This window comes from Homo sapiens, chromosome X (assembly GCF_000001405.40).
Source record: "Homo sapiens chromosome X, GRCh38.p14 Primary Assembly".
Taxonomy (NCBI): domain Eukaryota; kingdom Metazoa; phylum Chordata; class Mammalia; order Primates; family Hominidae; genus Homo; species Homo sapiens.
The window spans coordinates 71,393,514-71,416,493 of NC_000023.11; the positions used below are offsets into that span (position 1 = coordinate 71,393,514).

Sequence of the window (22,980 nt, forward strand, 5' to 3'; positions counted from 1 at the left end):
AAGGGGGAGGAGTTCCAGGCACTATTTCATAATAAAGAGGAGGTCACCTAAAAGTTTGACTACCTAGGTAGTCAGATATCTGACATGTCAGGGTAGTATATGTTTGTAATCCCACCACCAGATTACCTATTCCCTTCAACCCAACTTGGCAAAATTTTTGAACAGAAGGAAACGCTAGTCTTGTGTTCTAGGTTCCATGACAACTTTTATGGCCTACTTGGGCCTAACAAATAGCACAATGGTAGCAGGTGACAGGTAGGGCTTTTTTCTAAAGGTTTAGTTGTGAGAGGATGTTAATACACTATTAAAAATGACCAGTGTGCTGATTTATTTATCAAGTTGTCTCCAGGAATTCTGAAAGAGTTACTACAATTTTTCAAACTTATCTTGTTGACCAAATGTCTAGGAAAACTTTGTAAAGCTTTTCTGTTAAGGGCCCCATGTCTTAGTGGATTTTGAGTATGCCTTTTTAAGGTTGATTTCCCAATTTTTTACTTTTGCCTGCAACCATATTTCTTTAGTTCTTTCTGCACATTGCTTTTTCTCTTTTTAGGGTTCTGTCATCAACTGAAGTCTTATCAACTGACACAGACAGCAGCTCAGCTGAAGATAGTGACTTTGAAGAAATGGGAAAGAACATTGAGAACATGTTGCAGAACAAGAAAACCAGCTCTCAGCTTTCACGTGAACGGGAGGAACAGGAGCGGAAGGAACTACAGCGAATGCTACTGGGTGAGGATCTTGGCTTCACAGACAGATAAAAAAGAGAAGGGTTAAAAAAGGAGCCTACGTAACTGCAGACTGTAATTGAGGGAGATCTGGAGGCAGAAGATGTAAGGGATGCATGTAGAAAAGTCTGTGAATGAAGTAGAAAGCTTTTTACAAACTGGACTCTAGGATTGTCTGTGGAGGACCAATTGCAGAGATGATGCCACTCCACTAACTGCCTCTGTATCAGGTGCCTGGCCAAGCCTGGGCTATTAGTGCTGTACTTCAAATGAGCTTTTTGTGCATTTATCCTAGAGGGTAAGAGTTTTTAATACAGAATTTGTAAATGAATTTAGGGAGTTATCTTTGAAACTTCTGAAATTACATGTAAAATATGTAAATGTGCATTTTATTATTTTTTTATTTTGGAGACAGGGTTTCATTCTGTCACCCAGGCTGGAGTGCACTGGTGTGATCTTAGCTTACTGCAGCCCCCGCCTCCCAGGCTCAAACGATCCTCCTGCCTCAGCCTCCTGAGTAGCTGGGACTATAGGTGCATGCCACCATGCCTGGCTAATTTTTGTATTTTGTATTCCTCCTGCCTCAGCCTCCTGAGTAGCTGGGACTATAGGTGCGTGCCACCATGTCTGGCTAATTTTTGTATTTTATAGAAAATGTTGCCCAGGATGGTGTCGAACTCCTGAGCTCAAAGTGATCCGCCTGCCTCAGCCTCCCAAAGTGTTGGCATTACAGGCGTGAGCCACTGCGCCTGGCCTTAAATGTGCATTTTCTGAGAACATTCATGGCTTTCAGAAGACCCTCAGAAGGAGTCTTAGACCATAAAAAGAGTTTTAAAATTGTAGAAATTGAGGGTGGGAATAATAAAGACCTGAATTGGGTTGGGATATGGAGGGCATTAAGGATGAAAATCAAGGCAACCTTAAGATTTCACTCTGGGATTACTAGAAAGATGTTGGTACCATTGATTAAAGTAGTGAATTTCAAGGTCTGACATGCTGGCTCATGCCTGTAATGCTAGCACTTTGGGAGGTCGAAGTGAGAGGATCATATGAGCCCCGGAGTTTGAGACCAGCCTGGGCAACATGGTGAAACCCTGTTTCTACAGAAAATACAAAAATTAGATGTGGTGGCAGGCACCTATAATTCCAGCTACTCGGGAGGCTGAGGTGGGAGGATCGCTTGAGCCTGGGAGGCAGAGGTTGCAGTGAGCTGAGATTGCGCCACTGCATTCCAGCCTGGGTGACAGGGTGAGACCCTGTCTCAAAAGAAGTTAGGAAGGGAATGTGTAATATGTGGAGTTTGAGGTCCCTTTGACACCCTTGAAGTATACATGTTAAAGAGGCAGTTGAAAACTTGGTTGTTGATACTGCGAGAGAGGATAAAGGCTGATGATGAAGATTTATATGGCTTCTCAGTCACAGTAGTCTTCCCTTTGTTTCCTCTTTTCTGTAAAAGTTTTGTGTAATTTCATTGTTTTGGGTCCTTTGTAAAAATGTGATATAGCCCTTCCACCAATGTGGTCATCTATGTTTTCTAGTATAGTCCTGGAACACAGTATCTGTATCATTTGGGAATTAGAAATGTGGAATCTCAGGCCTCACTCCACATCTACTAAATTAGAACCTACATTTGCAGCCGGGTGTGGTGGCTCACACCTGTAATCCCAGCACTTTGGGAGGCTGAGGCAGGCGGATCACCTGAGGTCAGGAGTTTAAAACCATCTTGGCCAACATGGTGAAACCCCATTTGTACAAAAATTAGCCGGGCATGATGGTGGGTGCCTGTAATCCCAGCTACTTGTGAGGCTGAGGCAGGAGAATCGCTTGAACCCGGGAAGCAGAGGTTGCAGTGAGCTGAGAGTACGCCATTGAACTTTACCCTGGGCGACAGAGTGAAACTCCGTCTCAAAAAAAAAAAAAATAACCTACATTTGAACAAGATCCTCAGGTGATTCCTATTCATATTAATGTTTGAGAAGCTTATGTTAGGCTTTAAGACTCGGAACTTGTTTTTTGTAGTGCCATTTTCCCCCCCGAGTTGCGTGCTTGGGTACTTTTTTTTTTTTTTTTTGAAACAGGACCTCATTCTGTTGCCCAGGCTGGAGGGCAGTGGTGCAACCATGGCTTGTTTACTGCAGCCTCAACCTCCTGGGCTCAAGGGATCCTCCCACCTCAGCCTCCTGAGTAGCTGGGACCACAGGTGTGTACCACCACACCTGGCTAGTTAAATTTGTAGAGACAGTGTCTTCTCTGTTGACCAGGCTGGTCTCAAACTCCTGGGCTCAAGTGATCCTCCCACCTTAGCCTCCCCAAATGCTGGGATTATAGGCATGAGCCACTGTACTCGGCCTTGTGTGCTTTTATCTGTAATGTGATCATCACCCACTTCCTACATGGTCTTTTCTCTTGCACTGTTGTTCAGAGGAATCTGCTTCTCTATCTCCTATAGCAAACATGTAGTTCTTTGAGGTTTTTTCAGAACTTTTTGTACTTACAAAAGTTGGGAAATTGGCCAGGCGTGTGGCTTAGGCCTGTAATCCCAGCATGTTGGGAGGCCAAGGCTGGCCTATCTCTTGAGCCCAGGAGTTAGAGACCAGCCTAGGCAATGTGACAAGACCCCGTCTCTACAAAAATTTAGCTGGGTGTGGTGGTACACGCCTGTAGTCCCAGCTACTCAGAAGGCTGAGCTGGGAGGATGGATTGAGCCTGGGAGGTGGAGGTTGCAGTGAGCCGAGATTGCACCACTGTACTCCAGCCTGGGCAACAGAGCGAGAGAGATCCTGTCTCAAAAAAAAAAAAAAAAAAAAAAAAGTGGGGAAATTGGCAGTGCCTAAAATGAAGTCAGGAAAGGACAAATCAGCATATTCTTGGGGCTGATGATGACTTTGATGCTTTTTGTAGAACCATAGTTTTGTGGCATGTTGAACTTTGATAGCTCCACTCAATCCCAAGAAAATGATCATTTGGGAGATAAGGGGAACGTTTGGAAATCTTTTCTACCTACCTTGCAGCAGCAGGCTCAGCAGCATCCGGAAACAATCACAGAGATGATGACACAGCTTCCGTGACTAGCCTTAACTCTTCTGCCACTGGACGCTGTCTCAAGATTTATCGCACGTTTCGAGATGAAGAGGGGAAAGAGTATGTTCGCTGTGAGACAGTCCGAAAACCAGCTGTCATTGATGCCTATGTGCGCATACGGACTACAAAAGATGAGGAATTCATGTGAGTTTGATTTACCACTTCCTTTTTTTTCTTTGAGGACAGAGTCTTGCTCTGCGGCCCAGGTGGAGTGCAGCGGCGTGATCTTGGCTCATTGCAACCTCCATCTCTCAGGTTCAAGTGATTCTCATGCCTCAACTTCCAGAGTAGCTGGGATTACAGACATGCACCACCATGCCCAGCTAATTTTTGTATTTTTGGTAGAGATGGGGTTTTGCCATGTTGACCAGGCTGGTGTTGAACTCCTGGGCTCTAGCAATCTGCGTGCCTCAGCCTCCCAAAGTGCTGGGATTACAGGCATGAACCACGGCACCTGGCCTGATTCACCACTTTCGAGTGTGATAGGGAGAATAGTAATAATGGTGGGGAATGGTGATTGGGGTGGGTGCTTGAATTTTAGTGACAGGATTCTTCACAGTTATTTCTAGAACTCTGCTGTAATTGAGAACTATCTTGCCTTTAGATTGGGTTTGAATAGAGCCAAATTACAGGGAAAATTCTATTCGGTATTTGCCACGAGATGAAGGCATGTTTTGTTCCATTTTGGTCCTTTGCATTTTGATTGGTTGGTTTGCAAAAATCTTAGAGATTACTGGCCGGGCGCGGTGGCTCACGCCTGTAATCCCAGCACTTGGGGAGGCTGAGGCGGGCGGATCACGAGGTCAGGAGTTCGAGACCAGCCTGACCAACATGGTGAAACCCTGTCTCTACTGAAAGTACAAAAATTAGCTGGGTGTGGTGGCATGCACCTGTAATCCCAGCTACTCAGGAGGCTGAGGCAGGAGAATCGCTTGAACCTGGGAGGCAGAGGCTGCAGTGAGCCAAGATCTCGCCACTGCACTCCAGCCTGGGCGACAGAGGGAGACTCCGTCTCAAGAAAGAAAAAAAAAAAAAAACCTTAGAGATTACTCAGGACTTATTCTAAGAGAGTTACCTCTGCAAATGGAGGGCTGACTAGGGAGGGAGATGGGAATGGCATGTAGCCCCTTTTATCTTAGCCTGGATGGATTACTTTAGTCCTGAGATGTTAGCTATCACGATAGTCTTCTTGGTTAAGGTTTGCTTATGGTCCTGTGATTTTTCTTCCTCTGCTGCTCACACTGTTCAGTCGAAAATTTGCCCTTTTTGATGAACAACATCGGGAAGAGATGCGAAAAGAACGGCGGAGGATTCAAGAGCAACTGAGGCGGCTTAAGAGGAACCAGGAAAAGGAGAAGCTTAAGGGTCCTCCTGAGAAGAAGCCCAAGAAAATGAAGGAGCGTCCTGACCTAAAAGTAAGTATAATGTGGTGTGATTACAGCTAACGGAGCAAAGGAAGAATGTATACCTTTTCCTTTAGCTTTTGATATCCTCCTTTACTGGGAATGAGGGAAGTATATTGTGGAAAGCTGGTTTGAATTGATGTGACTACTTGGGGGTGTTCTCAATACTAATGTGAGTGGTATTGACAATTCCACACCAAATCTGGTGCTATTGTTCTCTCTCTCTTTTTTTTAGACAGGGTCTGGCTCTGTTGCCCAGGCTGGAGTGCACTGGCATGATCTCGGCTCACTGCAGCCTCTGCCTCCTGGGCTCAAGCCATCCTCCTACCTCTGCTTCCCAAGTAGCTGGGACTACAGGCACGTGCCACCACACCCAGATAATTTTTGTATTTTTTGTAGAGACCGGGTTTTGCCATGTTGCCCAGGCTAGTCTCAAACTCCTGAGCTCAAGTGATCCTCCCACCTTGGCTTCCCAAAGTGCTGGGATTGCAGGCGTGAGCCACCATGCCCGGCTTGTCATTTATTCTCTTTTTTTTTTTTTTTTTTTTTGAAACAGAGTCTCACTCTGTTGCCCAGGCTGGAGTGCAATGGCGCGATCTCAGCTCATTGCAGCCTCCGCCTCCTGGGTTCAAGCGATTTTCCTGCCAGAGCCTCTCGAATAGCTGGGATTACAGATGTCTGCCACCATGCCTGGCTAATTTTTTGTATTTTTAGTAGAGACGAGGTTTCACCATTTTGGCCAGGCTGGTCTCGAACTCCTGACCTGGTGATCTACCAGCCTCCACCTCCCAAAGTGCTGGGATTACAGGCATAAGCCACCACGCCTGGCTTGTTATTTATTCTTTTTTTTTTTTTTTTTTTTTTGAGACAGTGTCTCACTCTGTTACCCAGGCTGGAGTGCAATGGCGCAATCTCAGCTCATTGCAACCTCCACCTCCTGGGTTCCAGCGATTCTTGCGCCTCAGCCTCCCAAGTAGCTGTGCTACCAGGCATGTGCTACCATGCCCAGCTAATTTTTTTTTTGAGACAGAGTTTCGCTCTTGTTGCTCAGGCTGGAGTGCAGTGGCGCCATCTCAGCTCCCTGCAACCTCCACCTTCCCGTTTCAAGCGGCAATCCTGCCTCAGCCTCCCGAGTAGCTGGGATTACAGGCGCCCGCCACCACGCCCAGCTAATTTTTGTATTTTTAGTAGAGATGGGGTTTCACCATGTTGGCCAGGCTGGACTTGAACTCCTGACCTCAGGTGATCTGCCCACCTCGGCCTCCCAAAGTGCTGGGATTACAGGCATGAGCCACCATGCCTGGCCTTATTCTTTATCTGAAATATTTTCTAGGAGTTGAGATAGGTTTGGTAGGTTTTTTTTTGTTTGTTTGGTTTTTTTAGAGACAGAGTCTTGCTTAATCGCTCAGGCTGGAGTGCAATGGTGTGATCTCCACTTACTGCAACCTCCGGCTTCCAGGTTGAAGAGATTTTCGTGCCTCAGCCTCCCGAGTAGCTGGGATTACAGGCGTGCACCACCATGCCTGGCTAATTTTTTGTATTTTTAGTAAAGACAGGGTTTTACTATGTTGGCCAGGCTAATCTCAAACTCCTGGCTTCAAGTGATCCTCCCACCTTGGCCTCCCAAAGTTCTGGGATTACACGCATGAGCCACTGCTTTTGGCCCAAGTTTGGTAGGTTTTTTAACATGTACTTTCATGTCTGTTGTCTGTGTGTATATATTTTTAAATATGTACCTTTAAAATATTGTACATATTAAAAGAAGCAACAAAAGTAAAACATACAAGTTGTTTTCCATAACTTAGGATCACAGATACTACTGTGATTGTAATAAGCATCCTAAGATGAGGCAGTTGTGGTACAGTGGAAAGAGCCATGAGCTTGGAAACGGAAGATCTGAATTCAGGTTCTGTTTCTGCCATTTAATAGGTCTGTGACCTTAACCTCTCCAAACTTGTTTTCTCTAATATCAAATGATATGTCCACAGTGTTGTTGTATTAAATGATATAATTCAGGGGAAGCACTTTATAAACTATAAAATATTCAACAAATGAAACTGTTCTTAATGCATACTGAGGTCATTAAGTGTTTTAATGTTCCTTTTTGTATGTGGCATTAGATAAGTGTGATACAGTATTGGCCCCATTTTACAGATGAAACTGAGGTCTAGGATACCAGAGCTACTCATTTGCAAAACTGAGATGGAGACTTGGTGTCATCGAACCTTTTTCTTGTTTTGACTAGAGAATGGGAATACACCCAGCAGGCTGATGATGCTGCTGAATGTAGATGGGCTTCCAACAGCTTGTCTCCTGCATATTTAATATTTTCATAGTTTACAACTTAAATTGGGAGTGGAAATCTTCTCTTTATTCTTCTTACCTGATTTTTAAAGCAATGTTTAGTCTCTGGATTTCATTTTTTTTCTATGTGTCATTTCCATACATGCAGATTTGTCTAGTGGCTTCTGGTTGATCAGTGCATAACAATTCTATTAGAGCAAAAGTTCTGAAGCTGACTTTGTTTTTCCCATCTTGTATGTACAGTTGAGCTTTGAACAACATAGGTTTGAACTGCATGGTTCCACTTATGCGTGGATCGTGGTACGTGGAGCCTGTGTATATGGAGGGCTGGCTTTTTGTATATATGGGCTTCACTATGTGTGGATTTTGGTATACTTGGGGGTCCTGGAACCAATCCCCTGCATATACTGAGGGATGACTTTATTTCTTACCTGCTTATCTCTGATATGTGTTTCAGCCTACTTACCTCTGACGTGTTTGATACTTTTCCTTTTGCAGCTGAAATGTGGGGCATGTGGTGCCATTGGACACATGAGGACTAACAAATTCTGCCCCCTCTATTATCAAACAAATGCGCCACCTTCCAACCCTGTTGCCATGACAGAAGAACAGGAGGAGGAGTTGGAAAAGACAGTCATTCATAATGATAATGAAGAACTTATCAAGGTTGAAGGGACCAAAATTGTCTTGGGGAAACAGCTAATTGAGAGGTAAGAGATACCAGGCAGGAAGTGCTATGGGACAGATTTATTTGAGGTTGGTTATATTGGTGGCTGGCAGGGGTAGATGTGATGTGTTCTCTGAAGTGGAACTGAAGGAACAGGAATTTTGATGGCGTTTCCTCAGTTATTGTTGCCAGTAATGAAAATTATAGCGCTGATTAGGTTGTACCACTTGTTTTGGAGCATGCTGCCTAACTTCTGAGTCTGTTTCCTTAGTTACAAAATAAAACCACCTTTACCAGGATAGTTAAGAAGATAAAATGAGACAGACTACAAAGCATACAGTACAGTGCCTGACATATAGTAGATGTCAGTTATCTCTTCTTGTTCTACTTCTAGACACTTATAATATTTGCAAGGTCCCTAATCTTGTTGTGTTTTTTTTGAGACAAAGTGTTGCTCTGTTTTCCAGGCTGGAGTGCAGTGGCTCACTGCCACCTCTGCCTCCTGGGTTCAAGCGATTCTCACGCCTCAGCCTCCCGAGTAGCTGGGATTACAGGCGCACGCCACCACGCCCGGCTAATTTTTGTATTTTTGTAGAGATGGGGTTTCGTTATGTTGGCCAGGCTGGACTCAAAACTCCTGACCTCAAGTGATCCGCCTGCCTAGGCCTCCCAGAGTGCTGGGATTACAGGCGTGCTGGGATTACCATGCCCGGCCTAATTTTTGTATTTTTAGTAGAGACAGGGTTTCGCCATGCTGGTCTCAAACTCTTGTCCTCAAGTGATTCTCCCACCTCGGCCTCCCCAAGCGTTGGGATTACAGGCGTGAGCCATCACTCCCGGCCTCGTAGTGTTCTAATAAAGGACCATCCCAAAAGATGGATGAGACATAGAAACTGTGCTTATACTTGTGTCTTGCCCTCAGAGAGTTTAATAGATAATAAAATGGAGAAGTTGTAAAGTTCTTTCCCCTAACTTTTTAGTTTGAAAATGGCAAAACCTACAGAAAAGTTGAAAGAATATAATATATAATTCCTCTAAATTCACTAATTGTTAACGTTTTGTCACATTTGCTTCATCTTTATATACCTAAAACTTTTTTTTCCTAAATCATTTGGAACTAAGTTGCAGGCATCATATTTCACTCCTAAGAAAGTTAACATTAATGTAATAATATATAATATTCAGGTCTCATTTAGTCTTCCCTAGTTGTCTCAGTGTCTTTTATTGCTTCCGTCCCCAGTTCTGGATTCAATCCCAGTTCAAACATTAAATATATTTTGAATCTCTCTTAATCTAGAATGATTTTCCCTACCTTTTATGTTTTCCTTTTCTTTTCTTTCTTTTTTTTTTGAGATAGGGTCTGGTTCTATTACCCAGGCTGGAGTGCAGGGGCATGATCTCAGCTCACTGCAACCTGCGCCTCCCAGGTTTAAGTTATCCTCTCACCTCAGCATCCGGAGTAGTTGGGACTACAGGTGTGCAGTACCACACCTGGCTAATTTTTGTATTTTTTGTAGAGACAGGATTTTGCCATGTTGCCCAGGCTGGTCTCAATCTCCTGGGCTCAAGCAGTCCTCCTGCCTCAGCTTCCCAAAGTGCTGTGACTACAGGCATCAGCCACTGCACCCAGCCCCATTTATGTTTTTCATGACATTGAATTTTTTGAAGATTCCAGGCCAATTGCCTCAAAATATTCCATATTCTGGAATTGTCTGTTCTCTCATTGATCAGATTCCAATTAAATGTTGTTGGCAAGACATTTAATGTCATATTTAGGTGATATGCTTACTGTACTATATCAGCAAGCACATAATGTCAGGTTTTCCCACTGTTTTGATCATCTTGTTAAAGTGGTGATCCTCAGATCCTATAATAAAATATGTTTTTTCTTTATAATTAACATGTTGATGAATATCCTGTTCCCTGACAATCTTTTAATAGTTTTAGCATCGGTTGATGACCATTGCTTTATTCAGTTATTTCAGTGGGGGTTCCAAAATGGTAATTTTTCTAATTCTAGCATTTCTTCAACATTAGCTAACATTTTTCTATAAAAAAGAGCTTTCTACTCTCCCTTTCCAAGTATTACTATGGATTCTGAAATTCTTTCCTTTGGAAATTTAATGTTTTATAATTCCTTAACATAATTAATTTTGATGCTCACATAGTGTCCCAAATTTGACTCCCTCAAGCCAGATCCTGTGTTTTTTTTTTCTTTTTTTTTTTTTTAATGACCCTATAAATATTTGAGAACTTCCTTGCTTTCTGGCACAAGATGTTTTTGTGTTTTTTCTCGAGACAGAGTCTTCCTCCTTTGCCCAGGCTGGAGTGCGGTGGCGCAATCTCGGCTCACTGAAACCTTTGCCTCCCGGGTTCAAGGGATTCTCCTGCCTCAGCCTCCCGAGTAGCTGGGATTACAGACCTGTGCCACCACACCTGGCTAATTTTTGTGTTTTTAGTAGAGATGGGTTTTCACCATGTTGGCCAGGCTGGTCTTGAACTTCTGACCTCGTGATCCACCTGCCTGGGCCTCCCAAAGTGCTGGGATTACAGGCGTGAGCCACCGCGCCCAGCCTTCTGGCACAAGATGTTAAAAGCTCTCTTTCAAATTTTCCTATCCTATATACCTAGAGTCGGCCATTTCTCCAAAAGCCCAGGTTCCTTTTTCTTTTTGAGACGGAGTCTTGCTCTGTCACCCAGGCTGGAGTGTGGCACACTGTAACCTCCACCTCCCCAGTTCAAGCAGTTCTCCTGCCTCAGCCTCCCGAGTAACTGGGACTACAGGCACGTGCCACCTTGCCCTGCTAATTTTGTATTTTTAGTAGAGACAGGGTTTCTCCATGTTGGTCAGGCTGGTCTCGAACTCCCGACCTCAGGTGATCTGCCCGCCTCCACCTCCCAAAGTGCTGAGATTATAGACATGAGCTACCACGCTCAGCTGGTATACATATATTTTAAATTACAACTTTATACTGATACCTCCAATTTAGTTTATAGATCTTTTTTTCTCATCTTCCCTTATTTCATATTTGTATCCATTCTCAAGAAATAACTTAATTTCTGTATGTATTTACTTAGAAATCAATATATTTATTGAGAAATTTGCTCTGTCCTATGATATGTACAAAATAGTTTCAGAATTACTATAATAATACCACTACCACCAACAAACCCATAAAGTAGGTTCAAGATGGTTTTTGTAGTTTATTTTTCTTGGACTACATGCCACTGAGGTATAGTTAGGTTATTCCAAACTTTTTTTTTTTTTTTTTTTTTTTGAGACAGAGTCTCGCTCTGTCACCCAGGCTGGAGTGCAGTGGCGCAATCCCAGCTCACTGCAACCTCCGCCTCCCAGGTTCAAGAGATTCTCTTGCCTCAGCCTCCCGAGTAGCTGGGATTACAGGTGCCCGCCACCATGCCCAGCTAAGTTTTTTGTATTTTTAATAGAGACGGGGCTTCACCAGGTTACCCAGGCTGGTCTCGAACCCCTGACCTCAGGTGATCCACCTGCCTCGGCCTCCCAAAGTGCTGGGATTACAGGCGTGAGCCACCATGCCCGGCCTTCCAAACATATTTGAATCACTTCTTTTTTTGTGTGTAATTTAAGAAATCAATTTGATACAGTTACAGTCATTTATGTGTTTGTTTTCAGTTTTGGGTTCCTTTTCCCATCCTTGTTGATTTATTTTATATGCCCAGGCTGGAGTGCAGTGGTGCAATCTCAGTTGACTGCAACCTCTGCCTCCTGGGTTCACGTGATTCTCCTGCCTTAGCCTCCCAAGTAGCTGGTACTACAGGCACGTGCTGCCACGCCAGGCTAATTTTTGTATTTTTAGTAGAGATGGGGTTTCACCATGTTGGTCAGGCTGGTCTCGAACTTCTGAGCTCAGGCAATCCGCCTGCCTGGGCCTTCCAAAGTGCTGAAATTACAGGCGTGAGCCACTACACCCAGCCTCCATCCTTGTTGATTTAATTACTAATATCCGTAATAGTCATTGTTTTTTGAAACACATTAGAAGAGGAAGATGGGCCGGACGTGGTGGCTCATGCCTATAATCCCAGCACTTTGGGAGGCTGAGGTGGGAGGATCACTTGAGCTCAGGAGTTTGAGACCAGCTTAGGCAATATAGTGAGACCCTGTCTCTATTACTGAAAAAACAGTTTTTAAATTTAAAAAATGAAGAAGAAAAAATGTGATACCATGGTCCCTTATAGTGGAAAAGAAGAAGGTGAATGAGCTTTAATGATTGAGGGAAGCCCAAACTAGTTTGTTTTCTGTTTTCAAACCAGTTTTTAATTTCTTGTTTCCATTCTGAACCTAGCCTTTTAACATTTAAGATAGAATGTTGGGGCTGGGTTCGATGGCTCACACCTGTAATCCCAGCACTTTGGGATGCCAAGGTGGGTGGATCACTTGAGGTCAGGAGTTCGAGACCCGCCTGACCAACATGGTGAGACCCTGTCTCTACTAAAAATACGAAAATTAGCTGTGCGTGGTGGTGGGCTTCTGTAATCCCAGCTACTTGGGAGGCTGAGGCAGGAGAATCACTTGAACCTGGGAGGTGGAGGTTGCAGTGAGCTGACATTGCGCCATTGCACTCCAGCCTGGGTAACGAGCGAACTACATCTCAAAAAAAAAAAAAAAAAAAAGAGAATGTTGGAACTAGAAGGATTCTTAAAATTCTTTAGTCTGGTTTCCTTATCTTCCCAATAGGAAACTGAGGTAAAATTGTGACTTGCCTAGTTATTTATTAACTTGGAGAGCCTATGAGGGCTTGCCTGATCTGAACCTTAGAAGGTGGATGTTTGGCCTTTGGTTTGGCTTTTTCCTCGCTAGGCTCGTGCTTAGGTACCTTGGACTTTTTTTTAATTATAGTTGCTTTTTTTCCCCCTGGGAACTAGAAATAGGGGCTGTATCTAACTAAAGTGTTTTGATTTTAGTGCGGATGAGGTTCGCAGAAAATCTCTGGTTCTCAAGTTTCCTAAACAGCAGCTTCCTCCAAAGAAGAAACGGCGAGTTGGAACCACTGTTCACTGTGACTATTTGAATGTGAGTATGTGCATTGCTTCCTTCTGATTAGGTAGGTTATCATTGATTCCCCAGCCCTGTATGCCACAGCTCTGACAGCCTTAGATTCTCCAGTTGCCTTGCCCTGAGAATTATTTGTACTGTTCATTATAAGATTTCTAAAATATGTTTGTCTAGTTAGAGAAAGTGGATTTTTTTTTTTTTTTTTGAGACGGAATCTCACTCTGTCGCCCAGGCTGAAGTGCAGTGGCACAGTCTCGGCTCACTGCAACCTCCACCTCCCAGGTTCAAGCAATTCTCCTGCCCCAGCCTCCCAAGTAGCTGGGATTACAGGTGCACACCACCACACCCAGCTAATTTTTGTATTTTTAGTAGAGATGGGGTTTTGCCTTATTGACCAGGCTGGTCTTGAACTCCTGACCTCAGGTAATCCACTCGCTTTGGCCTCCCAAAGTGCTGGGATTACAGTGAGCCACCGTGCTCGGCAGATTTTTTTTTTTTTTTTTTTTTGAGACAGAGTCTCGCTCTGTTACCCAGGCTGGAGTGCAATGGTGTGATCTTGGCTCACTGCACCCTTTGCCTCCCAGGTTCAAGTGATCCTCCTACCTCAGCCTCCTGAGTAGTTCAGATTACAGGCACATGCCACCACACCCAGCTAATTTTTGTATTTTTAGTAGAGACGGGGCTTCACCATGTTGCCCAGGCTGGTGTTGAACTCTTGGCCTCAAGTGGTCCACCCACCTCAGCCTCCCAAAGTGCTGGGATTACAGGTGTGAGCTACTGTGCCTGGACAGAATGTGGATTTTTTTTGGTCTGAGGAAGCATTCTGATTTCACATTTCTCCTTAGAGACCTCATAAGTCCATCCACCGGCGCCGCACAGACCCTATGGTGACGCTGTCGTCCATCTTGGAGTCTATCATCAATGACATGAGAGATCTTCCAAATGTGAGTTCATTGCATTGGATATCTATAGTAGGGATGTCAAGGCCTTTTGTTCTGTCTGTGATTTCCAATAGAGGGCAGTAATCTGTAGATTTAGGTAACTGGAATGCCTAATTTTTAGGGAGTTAGTTTTTTTTGTTTGTTTGTTTTTTTAAGCAGTTTAGTAGAGGAAACAGACGTGCTCCATCTAGAAAGATTCCTTTCAGTGTTGATAGCCAGGTAGATAGGTAAGATGTGAAAGTCTTCAGGAATTGGCTCTGGCAACTGTTATTTGCTGATGTATGGTTCTGGCCCTTGTTTGCAGACATACCCTTTCCACACTCCAGTCAATGCAAAGGTTGTAAAGGACTACTACAAAATCATCACTCGGCCAATGGACCTACAAACACTCCGCGAAAACGTGCGTAAACGCCTCTACCCATCTCGGGAAGAGTTCAGAGAGCATCTGGAGCTAATTGTGAAAAATAGTGCAACCTACAATGGTAAGAATCAAATGTTCCGTGATTGCAAAGGTCACTGTTCAGATCCTTATTCCTTACTGGCCCTAAATTCAGACTAGATTGGACTGAGAGGACTACAGTGTATTTGTGCATTCATTTGTGGGTATGAAAATCAGGTAATGTACATTTTCAGTCATTTAATAAATATCACTTCTTTTTTTTTAAGGAGGGGGTTGGAGTCTCTGTCATCCAGGCTGGAGTGCAGTGGCGCAATCTTGGCTCACTGCAACCTCCGCCTCTCGGTTCAAGCGATTCTCCTGCCTCAGCCTCCCGAGTAGCTGGGATTACAGGCATGCGCCACCATGCCTGGCTAATTTTTGTATTTTTAGTAGAGACTGGGTTTCACCATGTTGGTCAGGCTTGTCTCTAACTCCTGACTTCGTCATCCACCCGCCTCAGCCTCCCAGGATTACAGGTGTGAGCCACTGCGCCCGGCCTAATGTCACTTCTTTTTATTCCCACTGTTTAATTCTTATATCCTTTGGAGAATTTGGAGTCTATTCGTTGCAATGAAACAGTTCCATGGAAAGTAGTGGAAGACGTGGTCCTAGGTTAGTACAAAAGAGAGACATTCGGCTGGGCGCGGTGGCTCACGCCTGTAATCCCAGCACTTTGGGAGGCCAAGGCAGGCGGATCACAAAGTCAGGAGATTGAGACCATGGTGAAACCCCCATCTCTACTAAAAATACAAAAAGTTATCTGGGCGTAGTGGCGGGCGCCTGTAGTCCCAGCCACTCGGGAGGCTGAGGCAGGAGAATGGCGTGAACCCAGGAGGCGGAGCTTGTAGTGAGCCGAGATCGTGCCACTGCACTCCAGTCTGGGCAACACAGCAAGACTCCGTCTCAAAAAAAAAAAAAAAAGAGAGAGAGACGTTCAGTGTGGATGGAACCTGTGTAGAGTATGCGCTTGTGACCATATTTGCTGTGTCTGAATCTTCGATTTGGTCTACAAATTTGTTAGAGGTGCTGTTACATGTTCACTTTGCTCAAAAGCTGAGAAGACAAAGAGGAAGAAATCTGTTTGTCTTTTTTTTTTTTCCCTTGTGAGACAGGATTTCATTCCTGTTGCCCAGTAGCCTCCTGAGTAGCTGGGACTACAGGTGCTTTCCATCACACCCTGTTAATTTTTGTACTTTTTTGGTAGAGATGGGGTTTTGCCATGTTGCCCAGGCTGGTCTCAAACTCTTGAGCTCAACCGATCTTGCCCACCTCGGCCTCCCAAAGTGCTAGGATTACAGGCATGAGCCATTGCGCCTGGCCTGTTGCTGTGTCTTAAAAAGAGGAAACAGTATAGCTTCTGCATGTAAAGGATAAGGTTTTCTGGTTTCCATTTGCATCCTTGAGCACAGATTCACAGATATAAATGTAGGGATTCGGAGTACAGATAGAGTGTAAATCATGGCTCTGGCACTTACTAATTGAGTTACCATAGACAAGTTATTTAACTTCTCATACCCTCCTCAGTTTTCTCATCTGTAAACATGGGATAGTAGTACTACGTGAATTTTAAAACCTTTCACAAGCAGGCCCAACCCATTTATCTACTTTCCATCTCCAATAACTGGCTCCCATACCCACTATCGACCCCTGCCACACTCAGCATTATATTTCACAAAATATCCCTTATCATTTCTTCATGACTTTGCAGTCTTTGCTCTCTCAGTCTTTGCTCTCTTTCTGGGATGCCTTTCTTCCCTATATTTCCAGACCAACTCATATTACCTCTTTTTATTTTTTTTTTTGAGATGGAATCTTGCTCTGTCGCCCAGGCTGGAGTGCAGTGGCGCCATCTTGTCTCACTGCAACCTCCTCCTCCCAGGTTCCAGTGATTTTCCTGCCTCAGCCTCCCGAGTAGCTGGGATCACAGGCGCCCACCACCACACCTGGCTAATTTTTGTATTTTCAGTAGAGACGGGATTTCTCCATGTTGGCCAGGCTGGTCTTGAACTCCTGACCTTGTGATCCACCCACCTTGGCCTCCCAAAATGCTAGGATTACAGGCATGAACCACCGCGCCCGGCCGCATTCTTTTCTTTATTTCACCATAAGAAATCTTTAAAATGGATACTGTTATAACCCTCATTTTCCAGATGAACATACAGGCCCGTAGTGTTTAAATAGCTTAAAAAAATTTATTTTTTTTATGATGAGGTGATGGGTTGATGTGTGCAGCAAACCACCATGGCACACGTTTACCTATGTAACAAATCTGCACATCCTGCACATGTACTAAAAAAAAAAATAAAAGAGGAAGATGACTTTACCTTTAGGGGCATTTCTTTTTTCTTTTTTTTTTTTTTTTTTTTTGAGACGGAGTCTTGCTCTTTGACCCAGGCTGGAGTGCAGTGGCGCTGTCTTGGCTCACTGCAAGCTCCGCCTCTCAGGTTCATGCTATTCTGCTGCTTCAGCCTCCCGAGTAGCTGGGACTACAGGCGCCAGCCACCACGCCTGGCTAATTTTTTGTATTTTTAGTAGAGACAGGGTTTCACCGTGTTAGCCAGGATGGTCTAGATCTCCTGACCTCGTGATCCACTCGCCTCGGCCTCCCAAAGTGCTGGGATTACAGGCATGAGACACTGCACCCGGCCTTTTAGGGGCATTTCTAATCTACATTTGTGATTTTCTTTTTTTGGAGATGGAGTCTTGCTGTGTCGCCCAGGCTGGAATGCAGTGCTGCGATCTTGGTTCACTGCAATCTCTGTCTCCTGTGTTCAAGCGATTCTCCTGCCTCACCCTCCTGAGTAACTGGGATTATAGGCATGCACCACCACACCGGGCTAATTTTTTTATTTTTAGTAGAGATGAGGTTTTGCCATGTTGGCCAGGCTGGTCTCGGACTCCTGACTTCAGGTGATCTGCCCTCCTCAGCCTCCCAAAGTGCTGGGATTACAGGCGTGAGCCACTACACCCGGCTGATTTTCTCTTTTGAAGCAGTCTCACTCTGTCACCCAGGCTGGAGGAGTGTGGTGGTACAATCTTGGCTCACTGCAACTTCCTCCTTTTCTGGGATTCAAGCGATTCTCCTGCCTCAGCCTCCTAAGTAGCTGGAACTACAGCTGCGCCCCACCACGCCTGGCTAATTTTTGTATTTTTAGTAGAGACAGGGTTTCACCATGTTGGCCAGGCTGGTCTTGAACTCCTGGCCTCAAGCGATTCACTGACCTTGGCTTTTCAAAGTGGCGGGATTACAGGCATGAGCCACCACTAGGCTTAGGCATGAGAATCACTTGAATCTGGGAGGTGGAGGTTGAAGTGAACCAAGATCGCACCATGGCACTCCAGCCTGTGCGAGAGAGCGAGACTCTGTCTCAAAAAAAAGAAAAAAAAAGATAAAGTAGAGATGTTAATCCAGTTATATCTAACGTCAGAGCCTGTACTCTTAACCACCATGCTCCATATACTGTTCTCCACTTTTTCACTTACTGTTTATGCCTCACAACCCTGCACTTGTCTTCTGCTGAAGTACCAGCTACATCCTAATTGCTGGATCCACTGGCCACCTTTCAGAAGTAACCTTTTATTTAAACACCTTTATTGAAATATAATTCACGTACCATGCAGTTTAACCATTTAAAGTGGTCAGGTTTTTTGTTTGTTTGTTTGTTTGAGATGGTGTTTCGCTTTTGTTGCCCAGGCTGGAATGCGATAGCGTGATCTCAGCTCACCGCAACCTCCACCTCCTGGGTTCAAGCGATTCTCCTGCCTCACCCTCCCAAGTACCTGGGATTATAGGCATGCGCCACCACTCCCGGCTAATTTTGTATTTTTAGTAGAGACGGGGTTTCTCCATGTTGTTGGGCTGGTCTTGAACTCCCAACCTCAGGTGATCTGCCCGCCTCGGCCTCCCAAAGTGCTGGGATTAAATCAGGCATGAGCCACCACGCCCGGCTGGCTAAAGTGGTCAGTTTTAACATGTCATCCATATTGTAACATGTATCAGTACTTCATTCCTGGTTTTTTTTTTTTTTTTTTTTGAGACAGGGTCTCACTGTGTTTTCCAGGCTAGAGTACAGTGGTACAGTCATAGCTCACTGCAGCCTCACCCTCTCGGGCTCAAGGAATCCTCCCGTCTTAGCATCTCAAGTAGCTGGAACCACAGGCGCATGCCACCATGCCTGGCTAATTTTTATTTTTTATTTTGTAGAGACAAGAGTCTCACTATGTTGCCCAGGCTGGCCTCAAACTCCTGGGCTCAAGCGATCTTCCTGACTTGGCCTCCCAAAGTGCTGGGATTACAGGCATGAGCCATTGTGCCCAACCTCATTTTTTTTTAATCATGTAATACTCCATTGTATGGATGCCCCACATTTTGTCTGTCAATTGATGGACCTTTAGATTGTTTATAATTTTGGCTAATGCAAATAATGCATCTGTGAACATTTTGTGAACATTTTTGTACAGACTTGTGTGTGGACATTTGGGGTTTTTTTTGTTTTGGAGACAGAGTCTTGCTCTGTTGCCCAGGCCGGAGTGCAGTGGCACGATCTCCGCTCACTGCAACCTCCACCTCCTGGGTTCAGGCGATTCTCCTGCCTCAGCCTGCCAAGTAGCTAGGGCTATAGGCGCGTGCCACCCACGCCTGGCTAATTTTTTGTATTTTAAGTAGAGACGGTTTCACTGTGTTAGCCAGGTTGGTCTTGATCTCCTGGCCTTGTGATCCACCCGCTTGGGCTTCCCAAAGTTCCGCGATTACAGGCATGAACCACGCATTTGCTTTTTTTAATTTTAATTTTTTTTATTTGTCAGGCAAGTAAGACAGTTAAGGGACACTTGTTTTTATTTCTCTTGGGTATATAAAGATCGAGCATCCCAAATCCAAAAACTTGACATGCTCAAATCTTAAACTTTTTGAATGCCTGCTTGATGCTCTAAGGAAATCCTCATTGGAGCATTTGGATTTCTAATTTTCGGATTAGGGATGTTCACATATTTGCAGATATTCCAAAATATTTCAGATTCTTAAAAAACCTGAAATCTGAAACACTTGCGGTCCCAAGCATTTCAGATAAGGGATACTCAGTCTGTACCTAGGAGCCGAATTGCTGAGTCCACATGGTAACTCTTATGTTTAATTAACTTTTTGAGGAACTGCCAAACTGTTTGCCAGAGCAGCTGCACCATTTTGTAATCCCACCAGCAGTGTATAAGGGTTCCAGTTTCTTCATATCCTTATCAACACTTGTTATTGTCTATCTTTTTCCTTCTAACCATCCTAGTGGGTGTAAAGTGGTATTTCATTGTAATTTTGATTTGCATTTCCCTATTGACTAATTATGCTGAAAATTTTTGCATATGGTTAGAAATACCATTCTTGAACTTTTGTGCATTTGCCACTATTGACCACTTTTTCCTCCTTGATACTGTCTTCTCCCTTTTCCAGAAATACTTTCTCGAATCATTTCCTTGCCTTTTCATTCTCATTACTTCAGCCATAATATATCTGTTAACATCACTATCTCCAGCCCCATACCTCTCTTCAGGGCTCCATACCTGTGCTTCTAGTTGTCTGCCAGACATGTCCATTTTTCATTGCCCAACTGGCAACTTATTGTCTGATTGTCTATCTAGTTGTACATCCTAGAAATCATAGTCATAATTTATTCCATCTTCACTTCCCCATACTCATAGATAACCAAGTCCCATAAATTGGAAATTCTAAGTTGCCAATGGAAAAACAAATAACAAAGATACTGGTCTGGGGTTAGGAGAGTGTTCGCAGTCATCATACTCCTCTTGGCCAGCAGTGTCCCACGTGTTCAGGCTAACGATTTGCCCATCCACGGATGTCTGGACGCTATAATTGTCAAAGACAGTGGGGGGATATACTCCTCAGGAAAGACATTTGTTGTATAACTGATGAGGAGGCAGGTTTTACCTATAGCCTCATCTCCTACAACCACACATTTGATTGTCTGCATTCTTCCCTTGTAGTCCTATGTACAAGAGAGACAGAAAGAATATTCAGAGATGCTTGGTTAATGTAGGGAGCTATTCTAAACATTTCTCTCTGAGGAGAAGATGAGGAAGATAAGATGCCCCCCACACTCTCTATACCCTTAATGCCATACAAGAGTCAGCTACAAAGGGTTGTATAAGTCAAGAGTTCTTACCCTGGAGTCTGTGGACTACTAGAGGATGGGCTTCGGTAGGTCCTAGAAGCCTCTTCTGAAGTTGTGTACAATACTATGTATATGTGCATAAGTGAATTTTTCTGGAAAGAAGGTCCAGAGCTGTCACCAGTATCTCACAGAAGGCTTTTTAATCTTTGGGTGAGCTCAAAAAGATTAAAAACCATTCATCCACATAGGTATTTGTGTTACACCGTTATCATAAGGTCTGGATCTACTGTATCAAAGGTACTAAAATATTGTAGGTGCTTAATAAATGGTTAGTAATTTTTAAAAATTATCATAGAAGGTTTCCAGGGTTGAATCAAGAAACATGGCTGTCACTTTGGGTCTCTGGCTATAGAGCCAGCAGAGGAACCTCCATTCCTGAAAAACAGAGACATCACAATACTGGAGAGAAAGGCAGACAAGTCACACTCAGCTAGAGAAATGGTTAAGAGGGCTAGGCGCGGTGGCTCACGCCTGTATTCCCAGCACTTTAGGAGGCGGAGGCGGGCAGATCACCTGAGGTCAGGAGTTCGAGGCCGGCCTGGCCAACATGGCAAAACCCCATCTCTACTAAAAATACAAAAATTAGCCATACGCGGTGGCACATACCTGTAATTCCAGCTACTCAGGAGGCTGAGGCAGGAGAATTGCTTGAGCCCAGGAGGCAGAGGTTGCATTGAGCCAAGGTCACACCATTGCATTCCAGCCTGGGTGACAGAGCAAGACTCTTGTCTCAAAAAAAAAGAAAGAAAGAAAAAAGAAATGGTTAAGAGTCTGGGCTCTGAAGTCAGGAGGCAAAACCCAGTTCTCCCTCTAATCTTTGTGAACTTGGGAAAGTTTTGTCTTTTTTTTTTTTTTTTTTTTTTTTTTTTTGGCAGAGTCTTGCTCTGTCACCCGGGCTAGAGTGCAGGGGTGCATCTCAGCTTACTGCAGCCTCTGCCTCCTGGGTTCAAACGATTTTTGTGCCTCAGCCTCCCGAGTAGCTGGAATTATAGGCATGTGCCACCACGCCCAGCTAATTTTTGCATTTTTAGTAGAGACAGGGTTTCACCATGTTGACCAGGCTGGTCTTGAACTCCTAGCCTCAAGTGATCCACCCGCCTCTGCCTCTCAAAGTGCTGGGATCACAGGCATGAGCCACCGCACCCAGCCAGAGAAAATTTTTAACCTGAGGGTTAAATGAAAGAAGGCATGCGTAGTACTTATTAGTCTCTCTCACATAGCCAGTACTCATTAAGTGTTAGAAGCTACTATGTCTTCTTAATAATTCTACTATTCTACTACTGGAGAAGGCAAAAATTCTGTAATATGGTTACAATGCTAGATAAACCAGGAGTCTCATCCCCTTCAACCTTATGTGAGTAAAACTACAGGTCTTAATGCCACCATACTCATCCATTTCTTCATGAATCAGTATTTCACAGTAAATGATATGGCAGAGATGATCTCCAAGAAGCTTGTTTATTATGAGTTCCTATATTTATACCCCCATATTAATACCCCATCAATGCCTTGCCCTCAATTTAGGTCCCGAAGTACTCTACTTTCTGTAGGTTCTTAACTACTGCCCTAATTTCAGACCTAATTCTTATAGCAGTGACTTCTTTAAGTGTCAGAGCACAGAGGAAAGGGCATTAAATAATCATATATATTTGGTTACAGAAAAAAAATTGAGAATCAATTTATTTCTCACCTTGAGGATTTGGGGAAATAGAGACATCCCCCATTCTGTTGTCTCATTAGCTAAGGTCTACATTAGGCCCATATCATAGGCAAAAACAAACACAACACCTCATTTTGGTCAGAATAAAGAAAAGTGAGCCGGGTGTGTGGCTCATGCCTGTAATCCCAGCATTTTGGGAGGCTGAGGTGGGAGGATTCCTTGAGCTCAGAAGTTTGAGGCCAGCCTGGGCAATATAGTGAGACTTTGTCTCACTAAAAATAAAAAAAAATTAGCCAGGCGTGGTGGCACGTACCTGTAGTCCCAGCTACTTGGGATGCTGAGGTGGGAGGATTGCTTGAGCCTGGGAGATCGAGGCTGCAGTGAGCTATGATCACACCATTGGACTCCAGCCTGGATGACAGATGGAGACCCTGTCTCAAAAAGAAAAAAAAAGAAGAAGAAACGTGGCTTTCAGAGTATGCTTTCCACAAGCCCACTAGGGGTTGCTCTCTGCCCACACAGAGCCAATTCTGAGTGGCGAGGCCT

At 44.2% G+C, this 22,980-nt stretch overlaps 1 protein-coding gene across 29 annotated transcripts in view; it reads left to right on the top strand.

Moving 5' to 3' along the window:
- TAF1 (TATA-box binding protein associated factor 1) overlaps positions 1-22,980 on the top strand; it is a 164,169-nt gene that overhangs the window by 27,157 nt on the left and 114,032 nt on the right. For 23 of the 29 annotated variants that reach the window (NR_104395.2, NR_104391.2, NR_104392.2 and 20 more), the window contains 7 exons: positions 554-732; positions 3,740-3,953; positions 5,059-5,224; positions 8,015-8,226; positions 13,125-13,233; positions 14,061-14,159; positions 14,461-14,638. Coding sequence is in view for 20 of the 29 variants with exons in the window: in NM_001440852.1 (NP_001427781.1) it covers positions 554-732; positions 3,740-3,953; positions 5,059-5,224; positions 8,015-8,226; positions 13,125-13,233; positions 14,061-14,159; positions 14,461-14,638 (1,157 nt within the window). In the remaining 9 variants the exon portion in view is untranslated. The remainder of the gene's footprint in view (positions 1-553; positions 733-3,739; positions 3,954-5,058; positions 5,225-8,014; positions 8,227-13,124; positions 13,234-14,060; positions 14,160-14,460; positions 14,639-22,980) is intronic. The other 6 variants (XM_047442398.1, XM_047442402.1, XM_047442392.1 and 3 more) reach the window with 1 other exon arrangement.